At 41.8% G+C, this 24,889-nt stretch overlaps 2 long non-coding RNA genes across 4 annotated transcripts in view, besides 2 other annotated features; one reads left to right on the top strand and one right to left on the bottom strand.

Annotated features, from left to right (window-relative positions):
* The window catches only part of NR2F2-AS1 (NR2F2 antisense RNA 1), a 200,002-nt gene that overhangs the window by 34,496 nt on the left and 140,617 nt on the right, over window positions 1–24,889 (top strand). The window contains exons 2-7 of one of the 3 annotated variants that reach the window (NR_102743.1): window positions 2,083–2,236; window positions 4,111–4,202; window positions 7,407–7,540; window positions 9,877–10,034; window positions 21,068–21,163; window positions 22,870–23,018. This is a non-coding gene — a long non-coding RNA (NR2F2 antisense RNA 1). Of the gene's footprint in view, window positions 1–2,082; window positions 2,423–4,110; window positions 4,203–7,406; window positions 7,541–9,876; window positions 10,035–21,067; window positions 21,164–22,869; window positions 23,019–24,889 lie in introns of those variants that run through there. The other 2 variants (NR_125738.1, NR_102744.1) reach the window with 2 other exon arrangements.
* LOC124903584 (uncharacterized) overlaps window positions 17,713–24,889 on the bottom strand; it is a 31,799-nt gene continuing 24,622 nt past the window's right edge. The window contains exon 2 of the long non-coding RNA XR_007064801.1: window positions 17,713–17,883. This is a non-coding gene — a long non-coding RNA (uncharacterized LOC124903584). The remainder of the gene's footprint in view (window positions 17,884–24,889) is intronic.
* Window positions 18,462–19,661: an enhancer, noted in NCBI's record as "P300/CBP strongly-dependent group 1 enhancer chr15:96816434-96817633 (GRCh37/hg19 assembly coordinates)". NCBI's record gives its function as "activates an origin of replication core promoter dependent on BRD2, BRD4, P300/CBP, MED14 and CDK7 cofactors, with strong dependence on P300/CBP, by STARR-seq in HCT116 cells {active_cell/tissue: HCT116}" and the evidence as "EXISTENCE:reporter gene assay evidence [ECO:0000049][PMID:35650434]".
* Window positions 23,931–24,545: an enhancer, noted in NCBI's record as "OCT4-NANOG hESC enhancer chr15:96811550-96812164 (GRCh37/hg19 assembly coordinates)". NCBI's record gives its function as "activates a minimal SCP1, AML or CMV promoter by ChIP-STARR-seq in primed H9 embryonic stem cells {active_cell/tissue: H9 hESC(primed)}" and the evidence as "EXISTENCE:reporter gene assay evidence [ECO:0000049][PMID:30033119]".

Below are 24,889 nucleotides of genomic sequence, written 5' to 3'. Positions count from 1 at the left end.
CCTTTCTTTGTGAATAAAAATGTGGCAAGAATGGAGAGCAAATCAGAATAATGCACGTTGGTGAAAGTCCTATAATTGAAATCATTATTGCTTAAGACACCATTGCTTTAATCAGCCCTATCATAAATCAATGCTTTTCACAAGTGAAGGTTTAAAATAAAATGCTGTTAAACAAATTGGGCCTCTTAAAAGGCATGATGCAATTGGGAAGCTACGGAAAATGGATAAAAAAGCGCTTTCTGAATGGATTCACTGGTTCCAGCATTTTGTCTTCCACTTAATTTAAAAAAATATATTACCTGGTCCTTTCTTAGAAATTACATATTGGAGGTCTATAATGGCCAAGCCTTTAACCCATTAAAAAAATTTTCTCCCAGGGAACAGTTAATATTTGACGTTTAATTGCTTTTTCTTGTTGGAGAGGAAAATGGTTTTTTTCTTCTTTTCTTGATTGACTTTTCAAAAATCACCTTGTGAGCTATAAAAATGGAGATGATTTTCAAAAACTGCGGTACACATCTGTGTGTATGCAAGCATATATGTGTTCATGTATAAATAAAATCTCCCATGTACCAGAAGCTGGTGCTTCCCTCACAATAACTCTGCAAGGCAGGTGTGACTATCTCCACGTACTGAATTAGGTGGCAGAGGTCTAGAGAGGTGAAATGATTGCCTGGTGTCACTCAGGTAGTAAGTGGAGCAGGGGGTGGCTTGACCACAGAGCCAAGGAAAAAGGTCATGCCAGTGGTCCCCATCTTGGAGTGCAAATCCTCTCAACCTCTTTAGCAAGCGCCAGATTCAGGAATATAGCAGGTAATCCACACCACCAGCAAAAGTCAAAAGAGCCCAACTCTCATCTTTTCTAAGCATTTTAATGTGAGTCCTTCATGGTAATTAAGGTAGGAGAAGCCGTTGAATCAGCCCTATAAATCATGTCCACCTGGAAGAGAGTTCTTATTCAGGGATTTGTGTGAATAAGCAGGGAGGCTTTGGGAGGCTGAGGCGGGTGGATCACGAGGTCAAGAGATCGAGACCATCCTGGCCAACATGGTGAAACCCCATCTCTACTAAAAATACAAAAAATTAGCCGGGCGTGGTGGTGGTGCGCGCCTGTAGTCCCAGCTACTCGGGAGGCTCAGGCAGAATTGCCTGCACCCAAGACGCGGAGGTTGCAGTGAGCTGAGATCATGCCACTGAACTCCAGCTTGGGCAACAGAGGGAAACTCCATCTCAAAAAAACAAAAAACAAAAACCAGAAAATAAAAAAGTAAAAAAAAACAAAAAACAGGGAGGTCACTGTTTTCTTATTAGAACAGTGCTCATACAGACATCAGATGAATTTTGGGGCCTCCCCAGGAACTGTTTTAAAAGAAAGAGGGGGCCAGCCAGACATTGGTGTGGAGAAGGTGAGGAAAAGCCTCCATTTGGTTGCCTAGAATTAGAATATTTCCAAGTCAACACTGTCAATCTCCCCACTCTGACATGCAGTAAATCCAGTACCCACAACTAAAGTGTTTTCTTGCTTTCTTTTTCTTTTCTTCTTCTTCTTCTTTTTTTTTTTTTTTTTTTTTTAGACAGAGGGAGTCTTGCTCTGTCATCCAGGCTGGAGCGCAGTGGTGCAATCTCGGCTCATTGCAACCTTCCGCCTCCCCAGTTAAAGCAATTCTCCTGCCTCATCCTCCCAAGTAGCTGGGGTTACAGGCACCCGACACCACGCCTGGCTAATGTTTTGTTTTTTTAGTAGGGACGGGGTTTCACCATGTTGGCTGGGCTGATCTTGAACTCCTGACCTCGTGATCTGCCTGCCCTGGCCTCCCAAAGTGCTGGGATTCCAGGTGTGAGCCATCGTGCCCAGGGTTTTGCTTTCTTTTCTTTTGTTCCTTCTCTTCCCACAAAACCAGGTATTATTTAAGTCTCTTGAAAAGCTGCACAAACCAACTGTTCCTCCCAGATTATCCCTTTCAGAGCTCAGGTGATAAGCCACCTTGGGTTACACCTCCCATGACTTGTGGTCAGATGCGGGCTGTGTCACTCTGCCTTATCCTACCTTACAAGAAAATATCTGTGTGTTGGCCTCACCAGGTCCCAGTTCCTCTGGGAATCGTCCTGTATGCAACATCTTCACAAGAGTGGCAGGCAGTTGAATCTCTGGCCTTCGTGGGACCACTGGACATCTGGCAGAGAACCAGGAAACCACGGTTCCCTTCTGTGAGTCCCTCAGCCGGAAAACTACAAGGTGTGTGACTGTAGGATGAGGCTTTTTGAAAGATGAAGTACGACACTTTGAGAAAGTGTTTGGAAAGAAACTGGCTGATGTCGAATGGAAATCTGAACATTCACAGATTTCTTTTCCTAGATATAGAAACGCAAAAGCTTACATGTACACATTTAAAAAAAATTAAATTATCTTTTCTTTCTTGCCTTCCTTTTTTTCCCCGCTTTTTTTGTTTTTTTTGGTCTTTTTCTTTTATTCCTGGTTAATAGTAATTCCCATTTTTAACCAAGGAGTGGTAAAACTGACACTGTCATATTGCTGATAGGATATATTAGCAAAATCCTTTTGGAAATTCATTTGCAGTGTGCATCAAGGGCCCATAAAAATGTATGAGAACTATGTGATAATAAGGAAACAGGATATGCACTCTTAATGCTTATAAATACATAGGCAAAATATACGTAGTCATACTAATAGGTAATATTTATTGTCTACTTAATATATGACAAGCACAATGCCACATGTTTTACAGGCATTGTCTCATTTATTTTGTACACAGACTTTGTGTGGTGGATATTATTATATCTCCATTTTATAGATTAAAAAAGAGAGGCCTGGGGAGACTAATTGGTTTATTTGGAGTCTAGTGTGAGATTTCAACCCATCCTAATTGATTACAGAGCTTACACTATTAATTTATAATACCTTATCATTCCTCATAATATGTGGTTATAAGTAAAAAACAAACATTAACAACCAAAAAAAAAAAAAAAAACCCACACCAGCAAACAAAAATCAGAGAAGCTCTTCTCTTATAATAACCACATGAGAAAATAGGAAAGCTTAGACTGAGAAAACGGCCAAACCTAAAAAAGCGTATTTGCAACCAGTTAATAAAATGACAGGTAGCCTTCAACACTTAAATGTTTTAAGGTTTTTTTTTCTCTGGATGGGGATTAGACCCTATATGAATGATTTTTGACCAAAAGAATCTAATTGATATTATTCTGCTAATTTAAGGAGTTCAAGGGAACAAGTCTTACATGTAGTTGCAAAGGACTTTGAAAGGACTTTGTCCAGACTTAGGTGAGAATTTTCTTTTGGACTGGGTCCTAGGTTAGTGTTCCTTAACTTTCTTAACTTATATTGTGTGAGAACATAGCTGAAGATATTAATGGAATCTATGGTTTCTCTTTCTCTCTCTCTCCAGAAAAACACATATATTAACATTATTCAACATTTTGCTGTATATATTTTAATTTTATCTTTTTTTCAGGAAACTTTGAAAATTTTAGGTTTATTGCTGGTTTAAGATTTAAACTAAAATTTCCCTTTCTGTTTTGGCTTCCAGAATGTTCTTTATACCTCAGAGAGAGGACTTTCCTTTTTCTAATAATTTTTTTTTTTTTTTTTTGAGACAGAGTCTCGCTCTGTCACCCAGGCTGGAGTGTAGTGGCACGATCTTGGCTTACTGCAACCTCTGCCTCCCAGGATCAAGCCATTCTCCTTCCTCAGCCTCCAGAGTATCTGGGACTACAGGCACACGCCATCATGCCCAGCTAATTTTTGTATTTTTAGTAGAGATGGAGATTTCACTATGCTGGCTAGGCTGGTCATCTTGAATTCCTGACCTCAAGTGGTCCACCTGCCTGGGCCTCCCAAAGTGCTAGGATTCCCAGCATGAGCCACCGCACCTGGCCTGTATCTCTAATAATTTAAATACTGATGCAGTTTCTTCAGAGTGTTGTCTACACCTGGAAAACTGAGGTCGGTAAAGTAAGCAAGTATAATGCATAATTTAGTTTCAATGTTTTCATTAATATGATACCATACCATTGTGAACACTTGTATTTGGTTGCATGGCTAACAACTACCTTTTGGATTTTTCATGTTAGAATGAAAAAAATGCATGGCATACATCACCAAGAATCAAAGGTTGTGCCTGGCAGTGTAATTGACTATGTAATAAAGAGAGAAGCTTTGCTAGGTGAGTGGACAGCATAATGAGAGGCTTTGTTCACATCTGCAGAAATGCATTTTCGTTAAACACCTGTGTTAAGCACAAGCACATAAGGCACAGTGATAGATGGATGTAAAACATGGGTAGATGATGTCCTTGTATGAGATTCTACAAAGACTCCGATGTGTTGAGGTTTGGAAGCATTCAGGCAGCCTCCTGGCACTATTGGCTATGCTGCTAATGAGATTACAGGCAGGGCATGATTTCATTCCATGTAATATTTTTGTCATTAGGAAGAGGCAAGTTATTTTTACCTGTCAATTTCTGTTTTTTGAAATTGAAAAATTCTCAGGTACGAATCCCAAAAGACTTTACATGCAACCTCCATGTCCTATTCAGGACTGTTCAAGGAGAAGACAGAAACACCATGTTTAGAGGTCATTGGTCCATCTACTCTAGAAACTTCCCCTTGGCAGTGGTCCCTGCCTATGTTACAGAAGACGGCAAAAATACGAGCCATCGTGCATCTGGCCAGTTCTGCAATGCTCTATCCCAGGGGGAAATTCCTTCCTCACTCCAGCTGGTGAACAGCTATGCCCTGGAGCCCAGGACGGACATGCCTTGTAACTTTTTAACTTAGTTAGTGTAACTACCAATATTATTCCTATTCATATAAATGTCTAATCCTTTCTTGAATCTTGCTAGACTATTTGCCTCAATAATATCCTGCGGCACTGAATTCCACAGGTAGATTATACGCTGCTTTAAAAAGTATTTCCTTTTCTTGGTTTTAAATTTGTTGCTTTTTAATGTCACAAAATAGCCCTTGTTCTTGCATTAAGTGGCACAGGATAGAAGCATTACAAATGGACCCTTATTTCTTCCAAGCAGTTTCTTCACTAATATTAAAACCCTATTTTCTTCATATATTTTCTATTTTGGCATATATAATCTTGATTTAATGAAATGATTTATGTAATTAGTCTCACACTATTTTATGAACATAGTAGGCACTGGTAAAAAGCTTTCCTTGGCATTCAGTGTCATTTATTGGACAAATATTTATTGAGCATCTATTATGTGCAAGAACTGTTCTAATTTTGGAGAGTCAGCTTCACATAAGACTGGGTCATTTTTCTGAAGGACTTACTTTTCTAGAGAAGGAGATAAGCAGTAATATAGTGAATAAATCTATGAACCTCATGGTTTCAGATGGTATTAAGTATTACGGGAAGATTGAAAGGTGGCTGGAGCCGATTTGCATTGCACAGTCAGGGAGTGGCTCTCTGAAAAGAGGACAGTTGCCATCAGCTGTCAAGGAGCCCCTTATGTGAAATCTCCATGAAGGTGAACTCCAGCTCCGAAACAATGCCCAGTAGTTGTTGAGGCTCAATCATTATTTGTTGAGTGCATAAATGAATTAAGGTTGAGAAGGAAAGCCTTAGTTACTAAAATCACCAGGAATTTACTCAGTGGATTCAGGGGGATCATTTCTTGAATCCCCGTGTTCTGTAACTCCCAACACTGTGGGAATAAACAAAGCAGGGGCTGTAGTTAGTTAGACTGGGTTTCAAGACCTGACCATGGTCCCCAGCTTACCAGCTGTGTGTCCTTGGGCAAGTTACCTAATTGCTCTCATCCACAGAACCCTCCTTTATAAAAATGAGAGTAAACTTTCTTCCTTCATGGGAGTTGGAGGTTTGAAGGCAAAGTTAACGTGGAAGTTCTTTTTAAACTGCCAAATGGTGTAGAGGTGTGGTTATTCTTGAGGGAACCAGCTGTTCCCAGTGTCAGGCTCTGCTCTTTCATTTTTCCCTCGTTCCCTTCCTCATGTTCTGCTTCCTTCCATTCCCTAGTTTATCCCTGCCCCTGCCTAAAGCCCACCAGGGCATCCATGGGACTTAGCTTTCTGTCCCGGAGGTGGCTCAAGCAGGGTGGACATACCTTTCTGAAATTCTTATCTATGTCTTAGGAACTTTTACAGTGGAGCTGTTGTGTATTGATGCAGCGGACTGGATGTGGCTTTCGAATAGTGATTGTCTGCTTTTATTTTGTTTACTGCTTAATCTGCTGGGGTCAAGTTACCGAAACTTCTACGTATAAAGACAGTCCTTGCCTGAATTTCCGAGGGAATCTTGCCCCAGAAATCAAGCCTTTGGTTGCAACGGGCTGCCTGGCTGCCTTCGGCTTCCCTCTGTGTTCCAGCCTGACTGGCATATGCATACACTGTTTCCTCATGTTGCCTCTTGTTATTCTTTTTAATTGTCCCTTAATGTACGTTTTTTTTTTCGTTTAGGCAATTTGAAATAGAGCATGTGCAGCTCTGCATAATAATATATGATAGGAAACATTTCAAGGAATAAATTATTAGAATTGTTTACATGCATGGTTCAAATTTACTGGCAAATTGCTTAGGCCTCAGTTTTATGATGTAGCTGCCAGCTAGGCTCCTTCAGGGTGAAACTCTGAAATAGGAGAAGCTGCCCAGCGCTGTCCCTTCCCAGCACTTCCTCTCCTTGTTCCTGCCCTTTCAACACCTCCCTCCTTTCCCGCCCCCAAATAACTCTGTGGAGCTGCCAGGCCTTTTGCACCTTAATGTGAAGACATTTCGTGGGTCCTCCCCGGACCCGCCCCCAGCAAAGGTGAGGTGCGCAAAGGAATAAATCTCCAATGGTGTAATTTTAGACACTGTGGCAACTGGGCAGCGCGGCTATTTTTGGCCATGGGGCTTTCTCCTTGACCTGAGATGATATTGCCTGGCTGCTGCCAGTGCACCCGGCCAACCCTGCACGCGGTCCTTTTCGCAACGTGTTTGCCATTCCTGGGGGCTGGCTTCTTCCTCTTTCTGTCAAGCAGCTCTGTGCTCATGCACGATGCTGTGTGTTTGAGCAAGGGTGTGAAGCGGTCGACGCGTGCCCACCTAGGCTTGCCCCAGGGTGACACTCTCAGGCAGTGGTCAGGCCACCTCTGAGGGGCAACGCAGATGGAACAGACGTCCTTTCACATTGGGGGTGGGGGAAGATTTCCGGTCCAGTTTCTGGGTCTCCCTCAGCCTCCATACTTGATCAGCTGCTCAGCGACCATTCTATGAGTCACTCCTTCTCTGGGTAAGGCGAGCCAGGCAGCCTCCAGGCCACAGGGTTCATGCATTCCCGCCCACACTGCTTCATTTGAAGCCGCATCCTCACAGAGATTCTTCTGACCACCCGGCTTGCTGTCTTCCCACTCAAGCTCCTCATGCAGCTGCTGTCTACAGACCCCCTGGACTGCCTGGGGAAGTGAGTCGGAGCTCCTGCAGCAGAGGGGTGGAACAGCTACACGAAGATCCGAAGGTGGCCAAAAATAACAGCGCTTTCCAGATGAGGGTAATGTTATAGCCAAGATCATCGCTGGGGTAGGGTGTCTTGTTCTTTGTTTTACAACCTAAAAAGTACACAGAAGACTCAAAGATCATTCAGGAAGGAGGAATCAAGTCAGTACAGAACAGAGAAATGGGAGCAGTTAAAAACAAAGGAATTGAGTTTCTTTATGCCAAAAGAGAGAAAACAGAGGCCTTTTATAGATAGAGAGAGAGCCCTGGCTATCTGGATGGAAGATCTGTTTTCTCCAGCTTCCATGGCCGCAAAAGAAGGGGAGAATTCTGAATTTGCAGAGAGAGAGAGAGAGAAAAAGTGAGAGAGAGAGAGAGAGAGAGAGAGAAAGGATATAAGGAGAGACTGACCAAGGAACAAAAGAGCAAGGAGTTAGACAAAAAGGGAGAAAAAGATCAAGAGACAATGTTGCCGTCTCTTATCTGCTATTGGATGAAATTTAATAGAAACGTATTGAGAACCAACTATATCTAATCCAGTTATCTATTTCTGCATGACAAATCGCCCTGAAATTTATTAACTTAAAATCACAAAAATCAAGTTATGATGATCTGTCATTGTTTTGAGTGTTGACTGGGATCAGCTGGGTGGTTCCCACACAGTCTTTCTTGAGGATAAAGATGAGGTCTGGCGGAGGCCAAGGCTGGAGTCATCACTGAGGCTGCCTCACTCTCATGTCTGCTGGTTGATGTTGGCCATGGCTGCGACCTCAGCTGGGGCTGTCAACTGGAACCCCTGCATGGGGTCACTCCATGTAATCTGAACTTCCTCACGGCATCTCATCCTTGCACTTCTCACATGGCCACTCAGGACTCCAAAGATGAGTGTCCCAAGAGAGTAAGGTTGAGGCTGAATGATTCTTTATTTTATTTTATTTTTTTTCTTGAGATGGAGTCTCACTCTGTCGCCCAGGCTGGAGTGCAGTGGCGTGATCTCAGCTCACTGCAACCTCCACCTCCCGGGTTCAAGCGATTCTCTTGCCTCAGCCTCCAGAGTAGCTGGGATTACAGGCGCCCGCCACCACGCCTGGCTAATTTTTGTGTTTTTAGTAGAGAAGCGGTTTCAACATGTTGCCCAGTCTGGTCTCGAACTCCTGACCTCAAGTGATCTGCCCGCCTCGGCCTCCCAAAGTGCTGTCATTACAGGTGTGAGACACTGCACCCGGCCCAAATTATCCTTTTTGACCTACCAAGTGACCTTTTCTATTGTCCACCAATCACTAAGATCAGCTCAGATTCAAGGGCAGGGCATTTAGATACCTCCTCTGGATGTGGGGAGTGTTAAAGAACTCATGGACATGTTTTAAAACTGCTGAAGTGTCCAATCATGGTGTCAGCTACTCCCAGCCTCTCATCTCCAGGAGCTTCCAATCTCCAATCTCGTTGAAGCTATCAAAGTCAATTAAGTATTCTGTGAAAAGTAATAAAATAAGTACCCATTCACCAGGTGAGTGAGGTGATAGAAGAATGGGTACCAAGTGGGATACAAGATGAACACTCGCATTCGTGTAGGTCACAGACAGAGTGTACTTCGGAAGGCCTGTGGCCACTGATCATTTGGAGAGCATTGAAGGCAAATAGGACAGCAGTGGCCAAGGTTCCCTTACTCTGGAGTGGGGGTGCTTACTCGCCTTATTCAAACTTCTATGTCTGTGCTCAATGATTTATTTATCCTCCTCTGCCCCGCCTTGGTATGACCAATTGTCCTTTATTTCAATTACATCATTCTGCAATGGTCCAAAAACCTTGCCTTTTTTGTTCTTCTGCTGTGACTTTATCCTTTCTGTGCATGAAAAAGATTCGGGCCAGGTGCGGTGGTGGCTCACGCCTGTAATCCCAGTACTTTGGGAGGCCGAGTCGGGCGAATCACAAGGTCGGGAGATTCGAGACCATCCTGGCTAACATGGTGAAATCCCGTTGCTACTAAAAATACAAAAAATTATTTGGGTGTTGTCATGGGCACCTGTAATGCCAGCTCCTCGGGAGGCTGAGGCAGGAGAATCGCCTGAACCCAGGAGGCAGAGGTTGCAGTGAGCTGAGACCACGCCACTGCACTCCAGCCTGGTGACAGAGCAATAAATTTAAAAAAAAAAAAAAAAAAAAAAAAAGATTCACCTCCCCTTCTCCTTCCCTACATACTTGCTACTCCATTGCCAGTTTTCAGACCAGTGAACTTCTCTCTGCCCTTGTCTCATTCCTCAGTCAACTGCTTGCAATATACATATTCATCTTGTTTTCCTTCTTTATGGCCACTGTCTCTTGCCTCCTCAAATCCTATCTTATATTCCACGTGACTCACGCCCTTCTCTGCTCTGACTTGTCTTATCCCAGGAGCCAGTTGTCCAGCACAGTGTCATGGGACAGTGGGCCCTGGTGCCACAATGCCCGGCATCTCCACCAGATACAGCTTTGAGATCTTCATGATGAAGCTTGCTCCAATCCAAGGGCTGTCAGGTGGGGTTTGCGGTTCAGCTGCTAACCTTTCTTTGGTAAGCATTTACTATATTCCATCATTGCTGAAATTACTTTTAATCTTGATTTGGGCCTTTAGTCTCCTAATAGCACCCACTTGGGACATTCTTTGTTTCTGTTTTGTTTTGTTTTGAGATGGAGTCTTGCTCTGTTGCCCCAGTTGGAGTGCAGTGGTGCATTCTCAGCTTATTGCAACCTCTGCCTTCCGGGTTCAAGCGATTCTTGTGCCTCAGCCTCCTGAGTAGCTGGGATTACAGGCTTGTGCCATGACACTGAGCTAATTTTTGTATTTTTAGTGGAAAAATTTTGTATTTTTCTACTAAATTTTTCTACAAAAAATTCTTGTATTATTCTACTGAATTCTAAAAATTTTGTATTTTTTCTACTAAAAATATAAACATTTTTAGTCATGTTGGCCAAGCTGGTCTCAAACTCCTGGCCTCAAGCGGATGCCTGCCTTGGCCTCCCAACATGCTGGGATGACAGGCATGAGCCACTGTGCCTGGCCAGGGGACATTCATTTTTAATTCCCATGTAGGCTGGGTCTCTTTTATCCTCTTAGTATAAAGTGATATATGTCCACTTTAGAAAATTTAGAACACAGAGACAAGCAAAAATAAGAAAACAAATACTGTAGACAGAAACATTGTTAACAACTTGATGTGGGCCTTTCTCATCTTTTTTCTTTCTAATTATGGTTTTTATATCCAAAAATGTAGCATCACCACTTAGATGGTCAGTGCTTCCGTCTGAGCTACTTCCTATTTTACTGAACCAGTTCTACAGAATTCTATTCCCTGGCCCCAGCTGATTGGAACAGGTGTGGACATCTGGCCCAGCTGGGCTAGTCCCTGCTCTTTCCCTGGGATTAAATTAGATTGTATGCAGCACATTGGCATATGTATTAGTCTATTCTCATGCTGCTAATAAAGACATACCCGAGACTGGGTAATCTGTCAAGGAAAGAGGTTTAATGGACTCACAGTTCCATATGGCTGGGGAGGCCTCAATTATGGCAGAAGGTAAAGGGGAAGCAAAGGCATGTCTTACATGGCAGCAGGCAAGAGAGTTTGTGCAGGGGAAGTCCCCTTTATAAAACCATCAGAACTCACGAGACTTATTCACTATCAGGAGAACAGTATGGGGGAGACCACCCCTATGATTCAATTGTCTCCACCTGGCCCCTCCCTTGACACATGGGGATTATTACAATTCAAGGTGAGATTTGGGTTGGGACACAGCCAAGCCGTATCAACACGGGATTAGAATTTGTACCTCGAAAGCTAAAGCTTTAGTGGAGAAGGTGGTTTGCAAGAGATGAGTAGAGGAGACAGTAAGAAGCAGAGGAAGAGATGGCGGAGTTCTAGGGGCAGAGACTCCTTGTATCCTGGCACTGATCCCTGCAGGGAATTTTGTGGAATCGCCTTGCATCCTTACCTAATATTCGTCTTTAATGGAGCAGTGTCTATGGGATTCTGATATTTTCATCTAACAATGCCTGTGCAGAATGACAGGCACAGGCTTTGGTCACTGAAAAATACATCATCGTTTTTTTCTGAGTCATCATATGTCCTCCTAGATTATAATTTTCATGGCTGCACAGTGACTATTGTGGATGTCTCAATATTGATGGGAGAAGTGCAATTTGCGGGAGAAGCTTGAGCTCTGGTGTTAAAGAGTACTGAGTTCCAATGCCCTGCCCTGACATTGTTGGCTATGTGATTTGGGCAAATTATTTAAACACCCTATGCCTCAGTTCCCTCCTCTGTAAGATAGGCACAACAATAAGGTTAAATGATGTAATGATTCTTAAAGTTCACAGCACATTTTCTGTCATATAAGTGAGGGGTCAGTAGATTTCACCTCTCATTATTTATAATCATGAAACCAGTATTCTGTTACTGCTCATGTAACAACCCTTCTATTTTCCACATCCTCCCCTGCCTCCTCCTCCTCCTTCTTCTTCTTCTTCCTCTTCTTCTTCTTCTTCCTCTTCCTCTTCCTCTTCCTCTTCCTCTTCTTCTTCTTCTTCTTCTTCTTCTTCTTCTTCTTCTTCTTCTTCTTCTCCTTCTCCTTCTCCTTCTTCTTTTTCTTCTTCTTCTTCTTCTTCTTCTTCTTCTTCTTCTTCTTCTTCTTTCATGGAGTTTTGCTCTTGTTGCCTAGGCTGGAGTGCAATGGTGCGATCTCAGCTCACTGCAACCTCTGCCTCCTGGGTTCAAGCAATTCTCCTGCCTCTTTTGTATTTTTAGTAGAGATGAGGTTTCACCACATTGGTCAGGCTGGTCTCGAACTCCTACCCTCGAGTGATCTGACCACCTCAGCCTCCCAAATTGCTGGGATTACGAGCATGAGACACCATACCCGGCCTCTATTTTCAACATTATAAACAGAATGGCAGTGAACATCCTTACAGTCAAATATTTGCACATGATTATTCTTTGAGAAAAATGCCAAGAAGTTGCATTATTGGATCAAAGATTATGGACATAAAATTTTTTAAAAAACATACACTAGGAGCCAGGCTTGGTGGCTCATGCCTGTAATCCCAGCACTTTGGGAGGCCGAGGCAGGCAGATCACAAGGTCAGCAGTTTGAATCCAGCCTGGCCAAGATGGTGAAACCCCATCTCTACTAAAAATACAAAAATTAGCTGGGCTTGGTGACTGGCGCCTGTAATCCCAGCTACTCAGGAGGCTGAGGCAGGAGAATCGCTGGAACTCGGGAGGCGGAGGTTGCAGTGAGCCAAGATCACACCACTGCACTCCAGATTGAGTGACAGAACAAGACTGTGTCTCAAAAACAAAACAAACAAACAAACAAAAAACATACAGTAGGATGGCTGTCTCTGAATCTTCAGTGTTGCCCACCACCCTAGCCTTATCCATTGTCTTCTTGGCCTCAGATTTAGAGAAAACATGTTTCTTTCTGGGTCCAGGATGTGGTCTATGTTCACTTTCCGACAAAATTAAAACATCACATCTGACATTTGAGTTGAGACTCTTTGGGTAAAGTTAATTAATTCATTTAGGTATTCACTTACTTGTCAGGTATAGATTAAGTTTATATATAGCCTAGATTTATGGATTAGATTTATATTTTGAGAGCTGGCTGGAGTGTTGCCAGTGATGGAGTGGACTTTGCAGCCATCATAGGAAGAGTTCCAGATGGTCCTGAGGAAGTCAAATGTAGACTAAGGCTTACAGTATCTGTAAAATCATTCCTTTCTAGAAACGGGGACATTTGGAATATCTTTATCTTTTAATGTGCCTGGAATGACCTGCCATCAGCAGACCCTTCCCCGGCTTCAAGGCTCTGGAAAATATCCACATGAAATTTAGTGAGATGCTTCTTTGAGCCACCCACTGTGCTAGGCAACTTGGGAAGACAAAGGTAACCCTACATGATCCTTATCCTCAAGAGCATCGTTTGTTGGGGAAGTAGATGTGCAAACAATTAGAGGGCAAAGTTAAATTTGCCAGATTGGTGGTGTGCACCTGCAAGGAAATCCCAGAATAAGGCATTCCATGAGCCAAGGTCTGCATGCAGTTAGCCACTTGGTCCCCGGGGGGTTTTAGTTGTTCTAAAGTCATAGTATTTGATTTTTCTTTTTAGTTACCAACAATGAACACTGGAGATTTTAGATAAAAATACAGATTTCTGTCTTACCTTGAAAAAATGAAAGAATTGACAATAATTAGCCCCTATTCCACCATGGTAACAGTGAGGGATGGCTGATCTTTTAACCAGAGAATGAAATGACTTCTCCTGCTGGGCATGGTTCATGTCTGTAATCCCATTACAGGTTCATGCCTGCAATCCCAACACTTTGGGAGGCCAAGGTGGGCGGATCACTTGAGGTTAGGAGTTCGAAACCAGCCTGGCCAAAATAGTGAAACCCTGTCTCTACTTGAAATACAAAAATTAGTCAGGTGTGGTGGCAGGTGCCTACAATCCCAGCTACTCAGGAGGCTGAGGCAGGAGAATCCCTTGAACCTGGGAAGCAGAAGAGGAAGTGGTTGCAGTGAGCCAAGATTGTGCCACTGCACTCCAGCCTGGGTGACAGAATGAGACTCCATATCAAAAAAAAAAAAAAAAAAAAAAGAAAGAAATAAATGAGTTCTCCTTTTTAACTACAGTCCCCACTACTCCTTACAGTTTTATCCTGTACTGCTTCATTTATTTATGCTGTTTGTGTGGGCCCTGTGAGTTTAAGAACATGGCCTAGTGGAAGGAGGCTCTTGTTCTTTCACAGGATATCAGGGAAGATCAGAAAGATCTGCTAGAGGGGAGACCTGCAGGGTAAGCAGAAATTTGCAAAGTAGAGAGGAAGAAGGGAGGTGGAGCACCTAAGGCAGGGGCAACAGCATGTGCAGAGGCATGGGGCTTGGGCACAGAAGGCCTGCTTGGACAAAGACAAGCTGACAAGGATAGCAAGAAAGTTGAGTATTTAATGGAAGGGATCAAGAGAAAGAATTGGAGAAATATGCAAGTGCCAGCTCACGAGCAGTCTCGCATACCGAAATAGAGGCTTTGGATTTTGCTCTGTAAAAACTAGATTCGGCCCGGTGTGGTGGCTCATGCCTGTAATCCTAGCACTTTGGGAGGCTAAGTTTGGTGGATCACTTGAGGTCAGGAGTTCGAGACCAGCCTGGCCAACATGGCGAAACCCCTTCTCTACTAAAAATACAAACATTATCTGAGCATGGTAGCGGGCACCTGTAGTTCCGGCTGCGAGGGAGGCTGAGGCAGAAGAATTGCTTTAATCTGGGAGGCAGAAGTTGCAGTGAGCCGAGATCGCGCCACTGCACTCCAACCTGGGCAACAGAGTGAGACTCTGTCTCAAACAAACAAACAAACTGGATTGGATGACTGATCAGATAACAGCTAAAAGAGTTTCCAACAGTGCCCCGACTCCATGCTGATGCTGTGGAAAGCACATGGTGTGCAGCAGCTCGTGAAATCCTGACTCCAAGCATATAATACATGTGCTGTTACAGAGGCGAAAAAGCAGATCGAGGGAGATAGGTTAAGTGACTTCTCCAAGGTCACAACCAATAAACATCAAAGCAGGAAGTGAACCCCAAGCTTCATTACAGAGCTTGCAATCTAATCATCGGGGCACCCCACTTCCCAGCTGGATTAGTGCTTCTGAACAACTACCCTGGCAGCAAAGTCAGGGTTGCATGGAGTGTGAGTGTGGGGACACTGAGAGAGCAAAGCTGCCGAGCTACTGGAGACCCCTGCATTGGCCAGAGAGCAGGAGGGCCTTCACCAAGGTGGCCTAGTGACGTGAAGAGGACGGGGTGGATGGGGGAGATGTTGAACAGGATACAGGATGGACCAGCGGGACCCTCCTTCATGGAACCTGCTGGCCATCGCATCGCCTTTTCTTTTCCTTCTTGGAATTCTCGGAGCACTCTGGGCGTCTTTCCTAGGGTTTGCTTCTGCCATGTCCCCATCCAGTTATGTGCATCTTATCATATCTAGCATGTTTTGAGTTCCTTAAGGGCAGGAGGAATTATGCTTTATTTGCCTTAATATTTTTTTTAGTTTTTACATTGCTGAGCATAGTGCTTTTGTAAATGAATGAATTCCAAAATTATCTTATTCAGATCATTTCTCCTTATGTCTGCATTTTATAAGTTAGTGGCAAGTTAAATGCTTTTTCTTTTAAAATGTGAAAATAATTTCCTTACACAATCTACTTTAAACTACATTAAAATATGAGGGAAAGTAAGACTGGGAAGTTGTTTAAAAACAGCAAACCCTTTAAGAGTCAATGTCACATTTATTGCTATAAAATATTTTTCTCTCTCTGTTAGACATCTGGTTCCCATTACGTACAGTATTGGGTACTTGAGTTCACCAGCCATATTGCATACCAAGCAGTGTGCACGCAAAATCCCCACCGACATCCACCCGTATGCATTTGCACCAGGTAATTCTTTACATTTACAGACAACCCTTCTATCACCAACTTAATTCTTACCAATACATTTTTGAAGTTACTTTGCTCATAGGTATCTTAAGACCAAATTGCCTATATCTGAGAAGTGAAGAACTTCAAAATCCTGGAGTCTTTGCTTTATGTCATTGTACAACCCAACTATCTATAATCTGGCATTGAAGTCAATGAAACATCTAAATCTTAAGTCTATATTTTCTAGTAACATTGACCCAGAAATGAGAAACACAATATGGAATGTTTGCTAATGAGTCATGAATTTCATTATAATTGCTTCCACATTCAGGATAGCTCCCTTAAAACCATCTAATCTTGACATATCCTGCAACAATCCCATGTGTTGTAAATGATTTTGTTTTATTTCTTAGGTTACTGCTAAGGGCTTATTTTCTGGTTCATTTCATTTTCTTAAAACCACACACACATGTGCATGTGCACACACACATTCAGACATACACACCTCACCTCAATTTCTATTTTTTTGAAATAAAATAATTATGAAATAAAAAGGAGCCCTAATCATTTGGTTTGAAAATAAAAATAAACACATTTAGGGAAAAAGTTGAAATACATTCCATTTTACAGCTCTAATTCAGGTCTCTGAGAATTAAAGCCAGAATTAAGCAATGCCTAGGCAAGCAGTAGTCTGTACCCTTTGGAGATTTAAGAACCTATATCAGAATGGACAGACACAACTGGCATTCAGTACTGTAATGATGGAAAATTAAATACAACTTTAAAAAACTGCTCACTTTAGAAAGTGATCTATTAGCGTTGTACGACTTCAGCACTTAAAGTGACTGATTCTAATTGCAGGATTTGGCCAGTAGCAAGCATTAAAGAGCTGCAGGATCTTGTATTTTATTTCTTTTGGGATATTTTAACTGGATTTTCTCTGGAATGAAGCTTTATCCTTGCCACACAAAAGATCGTGTGGAAGAAATTTCTCTGTTCGATGGAACGAGAGGTAATTATAGTTTCTTCTTCTTTGATTCATGATTCAATACGCCAGATCCTAAGAACATTCTTGCATTTATTCTCCCCTTCCTTTACTAAGTAAAACTCTATTTTTACAGCTCATGGATATTATCCTGAAGGACTAAAGATGGATGCCCTTCTCTAATGAGCTTTAGCAAGCAGAGAGGCACTCTTTTCCTGCACCTGGTTATTTTACTTTGTCCTTCAGAATCTCTCCGGGATAAACCGGTGGGTCTGTAGGATGAAGCTACCATGCCATACCTTGAGCCGAACTTATTTTACATAGGTTATCACAAAACTACAGGGACTTCTGGGCAGGTATACTTCTTAGATGTACCTACTAATGAGTTTGCAGTTTCCAGAAAAAGAAGGAAGCGTGTGGGAGAATGTCATTCATCTTTGAATTTGACTTTAGGTTTATGACATCTACAGGCTATTTCAGAATTTTCATTTGATTGACTACAGGAAACTAATTAATTGAATAGGATTGGAAACTGCAGCTCTTTATGCTAAAAGAGTGTTTTTTTTGGGGGGGGTGGGGGTTGAACTTACATGTTTAAGCAGTTTAAGACATATTGAAATTTTACCTTAATCTGCCGTATGGATTTTTTTGTTGGTGGCTTTCAGATCTCTCAGGTAGTAGAAGAATTGCCTACCATGTTTCAGAGTTTAGATGTGATCACCTACATTGTTATCCATGTAACCAACAATGGGATCTTGAACATGTAATTTAAAACTCCAGCGCTACTGTAAACGCTAGCCTTATTTATTTAAAACATCACTCTCTGAAACTGACATTATTTTCTTAATAGGACAACACTGGGTAGAAAGAAGTTTAAAGGCACTCTCTGACTTCTTGGTGAATTTTTCACTAACAGTTCCCCGTTGCTCATAATTGCATCCTCTCTTCCAAAACCTAGAATCTGCAGAAGAGAGCAGAAATACTTGTTATTGACCTGAATTAGGATAAAAAGAAGAGAGAAGATAAGATCATAGCTGTTGGCACTTTGTTTATGAAAACATCATTTCGAAAATATGCTTGAATCAGGCAAAAGTAATGCATCTCCTTCCTCTCCTAGCATATTTTAAATGCCAACCTAGCCAGACAAAAAGAATAGTGCCCCAAATTAGGGCATTTTCTTTCCTGTATGCTAGTGTAATATATGATAACATCATTTAATTATTATTTGTGACATTTCAACTACATTTTAGATATTATAGAAATATATGCAAATATATGTAAAAGTATAAACATAAAAATCAGAAAGTGTTTAAAAATTATCACATTTTATTTTGAAATAATATAGGACTCACTGAAGTTGTAAAAATAATTCGGAGAGATCCCCTGTACCCTTCACCCGGCTTTCCCCAAAGACAGCATTTCACATAACCACAGCACATTCTAAACATTAGGAAATTGATTCAATATTGTTAACTCAGTTAGAGGCTTTATTCAGGCTTCAGCAGTTTTACATGCACTCTTTTCTGGGGTGTATAATAACATGTAGAAATGCATAAAACACCAGCGTTAAGAAAGCATCTCTCACCAATGAATATTGATGATATGCAAGATTCTCAGACAATGTGGTTTTACGCATCTTGTGATTGACTAAAAGAGAAGTAGAGCTGGTTGCATTTAGGAAGGTCCTTTATACCTAATTGCTTTAGCCATACGTTAATTAACTAATCAATTAATCAATCCGAATCAAGTGCCAACTATGAGCCAGCCTCTTTGATAAAGTGGAGACGCAAAGATGGAGGCATGGATTATACTCGCGAAGAACTCACAGGAGGAGATAGAAAATCAAATCAACAATTACAACACGTAGCTGCATACCATAACACAAATGAAACACACCAATATGACTAAGCACCTAAAAGTGCCCTGCACTGTATCAGGCATTAGGCATTAGGTGAATAAGATGCATGCTCTTCCTGTTCTGTGGAGCTCACTGCTGAGTGCAGGAGATAAGACCATTAATGAGCGATGACAGCAACGTGCTCTAACAGGGAGCTGTGGTTCGGCGTGGGTGGGTCCTAACCAGATCAGTGGGTCTAGGAAAGTGACTCAGGAGTGTGTCATGAGGTCAAGGCCAGCATCTCAAGACGCTCAGCATGACTACTTTATGGGTTCTTTGAACCAATCTCTGACTATTTTTCATGCAGACCCCGTAAAGCATCTTCTAGTTGTGCTATCGCATTTGAGCAGATGGCTTGCCGTCACGAGAGCAGTCAATGTTTCTCAGAACTGATTCAAAAGCTCTTTGAAGGCCGGACGTGGTGGCTAATGCCTGTAATATCAGCACTTTGGGAGGCCTAGGTGGGAGGATGGCTTGAGCTCAGGAGTTTGAGACCAGCCTGGGTGACACGGCGAAACCCCCTCTCTACAAAAAATACAAAAATTAGCTGGGCATGGTGGCATGCACCTGTGGTCCCAGCTACTCGGGAAGCTGAGGTGGGAGGATCAGTTGAGCCCAGGGGGTAAAGGCTGCAGTGACCACTGCACTCCAGCCTGGGTGACAGAGTGAGCCTCTGTCTCAAAAAAAAAAAAGCTCTTTGATATCATACCTGGTGTCAGATCTTCTCCATTCAATGCTGGCAGGCCTGGTGTTGGGCTCACATAAGACATGGGGTGAAGAGGGGTTTGCTTTCCCCCAGTGAAGGTGAAGTGTTTTCCTAGAGCATGGTTGGTTAGTTGGTGTTGGAAAAATATAACAGTTGTATTTTTCTTTCCTAACAAATTGAGGTTTCTTATTCAAAATGAGACAACACTATCACCCTCTAAGCTGCTGTGGGTCTTATCATCGGCCTTTCCTGCTTAGAACCCCTCAATTGCTTTACACTAGACTTAAGGTGGCATCCAAAATTCCTACCTAAGCATGTGGTCTACAAGGCCCTCTGTGATGTGGCTCTGCTCACCTATGTCTCATCACGTTCTGCTTTATCTCCAGGTCCTAGTGGTCCAAGCATGCTGGCCTGTTTATTATTTCTTTAACTTCCAAGCTGTTTCCTACTCCTGGACCTTTCCACATGTTTTTGGAAATGTTTTCATTTTTCCTGATACTTTTATCTATAACCTCATTCTTCAGGCTTCTATTGCAAGACCTTCTATGCTGAAGCACTTGTTTATATGAAGGCTTCACTGTAAGTTCCACTTTATTCTTACTTTTACTTTGTGTATTTATTATTGTATGCAATTTTCTATTCATTGGTGCGATTATATAATATTTATCTCTCCCATTAAACTGTAAGTTCCATGAGGGCCAGAATGATGTCATTTTTATGATTATCTCCTGAAGGCTCAATAAGCATTTGTTGAATGAATTATTGAATCAATGAAAACATGAATAAATGAAAGAAATAGTGACATATGCCCTTATTTCTTCTATGTTTAGGTAATGCTACACCTGAGATTTGGAAGTATCTATAGAGTGTTTTGGGATCATTTCTGGAGTTATTTCTTTCTCAAGTTCAGGCAGCAATCATTTTGCATAAAAATCATGGCTGGGCTGAGTGTGGTGGCTCATACTTGTAATCCCAGCAATTTGGGAGGCCGAGGTGGGCGGATCACCTGGGGATTGTGAGACCAGCCTGACCAACATGGAGAAAACCCGTCTCTACTAAAAATACAAAATTAGAAATTAGCCGGGTGTGGTGGCACATGCCTATAATCCCAGCTACTTGGGAGGCTGAGGCAGGTGAGGCAGGAAAATTGCTTGAACCCAGGAGGTGGAGGTTGCAGTGAACCCAGATAGCGCCATTGCACTCCAGCCTGGGGGACAAGAGCAAAACTCCGTCTCAAAAAAAAAAAAAAAAAAAATTCATGGCCGACATGATTCTGTGTACTTCAGTGGTTTCTGCTCTAGGTGTTTTATTGGTGAAGTTGTCATCTCAAGGCTACTCCAACAATGGGCAAACCGTAGGTTAGATGCCCACTGCTGACTGAAATGGTGGCCATTACTTTGCAAAGAATAGCCTAGAGCTGCTTTGCTAATCCCGGGGCTCTGAACGTGGCTCTTTGGTACACAGAGGGTCTTGAGCATGGGAGGTACCTTGGCAGACAGGTCTAGCACACAGTTTAAAATGTTTATATCTGCTGAATTCTAGATCCAAATCCTGTCTTCACTGGCTTCAAGAATCCTGTCTTCACTGGCTTCAAAACTGGGATGAAGGAGGCTCCTTAGTGGAGAGCAAAGCAAAGAGGTATTTGACACAGGGATAAAGGGATTGATAGAAGTCAGGGACTGTCTCCAGGGAGAAGTGATCTTTGAGCTGAATCTAGATTGGTGGTCAGGATTGAGTTACTCAGATGGACATACGTGACATGGTTTAAGAGTGGGCTGAGGGAATAGCAGTGCAAAGGCCTGAAGAGATGTTTAGTGAAAAGGCTCAACCAAATCTCTGGACATACAAAACCAACTAATGGACTGTGAGAAGAGTGGTAATCCCCCAGCCCTCGAATTTCAATTATGTAGATAATTGCTTCAATTTTGTGCCTGGTATGTACCCAGTCTAAGCATATGTTTATAATCTAACGTAGATTACTTAAATGTTGTTTGGTAGGTAATAATGCAGTGTGAATTTCAGTTTTTTGTTTGTTTGTTTGTTTATTTGAGACACAGTCTCCCTCTGTCACCCCCCAGGCTGGAGTGCAATGGCACGATCTCGGCTCACTATAACCTCCACCTCCCAGGTTCAAGCGATTCTCCTGCCTCAGCCTCTCGAGTAGCTGGGATTACAGGCATGTGCCACCATGCCCAGCTAATTTTTGTATTTTTTGGTAGAGACAGGGTTTTACCACCTTGGCCAGGCTGGTCTCGAACTCCTGACCTCATGATCCACCCGCCTTGGCCTCCCAAAGTGCTGGGATTACAGGGGTGAACCACCGTGCCCAGCAGCAGTGTGAATTTCATTACCTTTTTTCCTGGGTGTTTTTATCAAGAAGGGCTTGTGTGTGTGCGCACATATGTGTCTTTAAACTCATTTGTTAATCTTGCCCATGTATAAATAAAGATCACAGATCTTGTTTATGTTAAGAGCTGTGAGATTTTGGTGAGCTGCTGCTTCTGGAATGTATACCTAGTGAAGAGGCAGCATTGCGTACCAGAAAGAGCTCACGTTTTGGAGTTAAAGACCTGGGGACAAGGATCAACTTGGCACTTACTAACCTGTGACTCTGGGCAAGTTGCATAACCTCTCTGAGTCATAATTTCTCCCCCACTAACTTTGTGGTAATAATAAGGTTATTTGGCTCATTTATCTCATAGAATTATTTATATAAGGCAATCTATCTGAAAAAACTTTAAACATTATAAAGCACCTTGTAAATAGGAGGCATTTTTATTCTAGAAAAAGTGTACTTAAAAATATGACAGGTTATGTAAGTGAATGGAGAGGCCCTACCCAAGCTCAATATCATTTGAAAATTGAAAATAGCATATTTCAAATATGGCAATATGGCTAGACATTCAAAAGTTTCTGAGAGCAGTGAAAATTTACACTTATTGTGTTGCAGGCTTATAGTTTAGAAGGCAGTTCAATGTTGTACAAATTAAAGAGAAAGTCAACCCCCCAAATAAAGATTGATAAAAACTTTTGATTTTTAGAAAAGAAGGCATAAAGCAAATTTTCATGAAATATTTCTTGGTAACTCACTTTGCAGTATTTTTGGAAATTATGTGACAATAGAATTACTTTCCAGAAAATAGTAACAAACTTTCCCCAAAATGTTTTATTTAATCAAGAAGGAGCTACGTAACTGGAGGAAAGGCAAGCACATTTTATATGTGACAAACAACTATCTCACATATTAATTTCAAAATGTAAGACATCTAAAAGTGCACATCAAACTCAGCATTAAAAATTATTGAGATCCTTTGCCGTAAAAGTGATTTCCTTATATTTTCTAGAAACTCAAATTGGATCCATATTAAAGAAGAGAAGGATGGATTTGTTTAGACAACACAAACCTAGGAAGGGTTTGAGAGGTGAAACAAACTGGGTTATGGATGAACGGGGGCAATTGGAATGTAGAATTGAAGCAGTAATTAACATCTTGGTAAGTTACCCACCATAAAACGCTTTAGAGCAAGATAGATTTTTGTTTTTCTTTTTTTTTTCTTCTATTTCTTCTTTTCTATTTTTTTTCTATCTTCTCATGTAGGACACCCTTTTTTTTTCTCTAATTTTGAGATCCTCATGGATGAAAACAAAACATATATTGAAATATTGCATAGGAAGAACACAAATAGCTTTGATAATGCACCAACTGCAAGTGGATTCATTGGCTCTGTGTCAGCTGGTGCATGTAGGAAGCTGAAGAATATTTTCTTGCCAACGTTTTGGCAAGACTTATTTTTTCCCGGGGGGTGGGCGCAAGGGTGCAATCCAATAATAATTAAAAAAAAGACTGTATAACCATTGTGTAGGAAGAGCTTCAGCCACCCTACAGCCGAGAGCGAGTTGGTCTTCCACAAGTCACTGGGGGAGATGAAGGGTACACTGTAGTCAGGTGGAGTCTCTTTGGGCCTAAAATCACTATAGGACACTTTTCCAAAGTACCCTGGTGTCTTCAGTGATCCTGAGTGCTGGCACTTGCACTTTGTCACTACATCCATCCCAGAGCTGCCCCAGTGGCTGGAGGCCTCTTGAATATCAGCATCATGCTCTCCCCCAACCTAGGGGATTCGTTTTCCTCCCCTGCAGTAGACATTTGCGTGAAGGTTAATCCACAGTTAGGAGTTGCTTAACTCAAGCCTCAGAAAGCGTACACTGCATCTTTAAGAAATAGTTTACTTGTGAATCAGTAAACGTACTAGACAAAGCAGCCATTACTTATGCATTCCTGCATATCCAGCAAGGTGAAAATAATAGAATAAACATCATATACTTCATTATGATATCGGTTTACACTTCCAGGGTACACAAAAAGAGGCCATTTCATCAAGCTAATTGCCTGAAAGTAAAAGAGAGAGAACTTTAGCTATTAGTCTATTATGGGGCTTTTTTCTTAATCACAAATAGGGGCCGTGTGTCCCTGGGGGGATGTGTATTCTAATTTACAATTGAACTACAGATCAGAGCAATCAATCTTGGGCAGCACTTTTACAGTGTAATTGCTGCAACATAACAAATAAAAAAAAAAAAGAGAGAGAGAGAGAGAAGAAGAAGAAGAAGACCTAAGCTGAGCGTCAGCTTGAGGTGGAGATATCTGCAGGCACTAGTTCAGGGTGGGAGGGAAGAAACGCCACAAACATGAATATGCAATGAGGGCTCATTAGCGGCCTCGTGTTGCCATGACGAATGGCATTATCCGCGGCCTGGTGCTGCCTAAACGTGAATTTTATAACGACCCATTTATCATGACTTGTCATGGGCTTCTGTACTGTACTTTCTTCCAGCTCACACACCTTTCCCTATTATGACAGTAGAAATCTTTCCTTTTATTATTATTGTTTCCTTTTGTATTGATTTCTGGCTCTTCAAAATAAGTTGCATCAAACAGAGCAACATGCTAATGAGCGATTTGTGCCTTCAAAGTTGAAGAACTAAAACTTGATTATTCATCCCGTTTTCTCTATAGTCATATAATTGAGCAAACAGTTGGGCTAAACTTTGAAAGAAATTTCTTGATGTGTGAGTTTTTGTTTTTGTTTTTTGACTGTAGCATCTTGACACTGCAGATTTTTTTTAAAGTTAAAATTAATGAAGTGATCTTCCTTTCATTTATTTTATTCCCTTTGTTGTACTTCCAGAATCTTTTAATATCTTAAACGCACAGCTCAAAAGTTTCTATGTCTCTTCCCAAAATCTCGGCACCATTACAGAAAAGTGTAAGACTAAAGTGTTTCAGAGATTTTTAGTGCTTAGCATTTTACAAGTGCTTGAGTTGATTTCTCACTTAGAAACCCTCTTATACTGTGCAGAGGA

Source organism: Homo sapiens, chromosome 15 (genome assembly GCF_000001405.40).
Source record: "Homo sapiens chromosome 15, GRCh38.p14 Primary Assembly".
Lineage (NCBI taxonomy): Eukaryota > Metazoa > Chordata > Mammalia > Primates > Hominidae > Homo > Homo sapiens.
The sequence above is the reverse complement of the archived record's forward strand: the minus strand, read 5'-3'. Positions and strand labels throughout refer to the sequence as shown.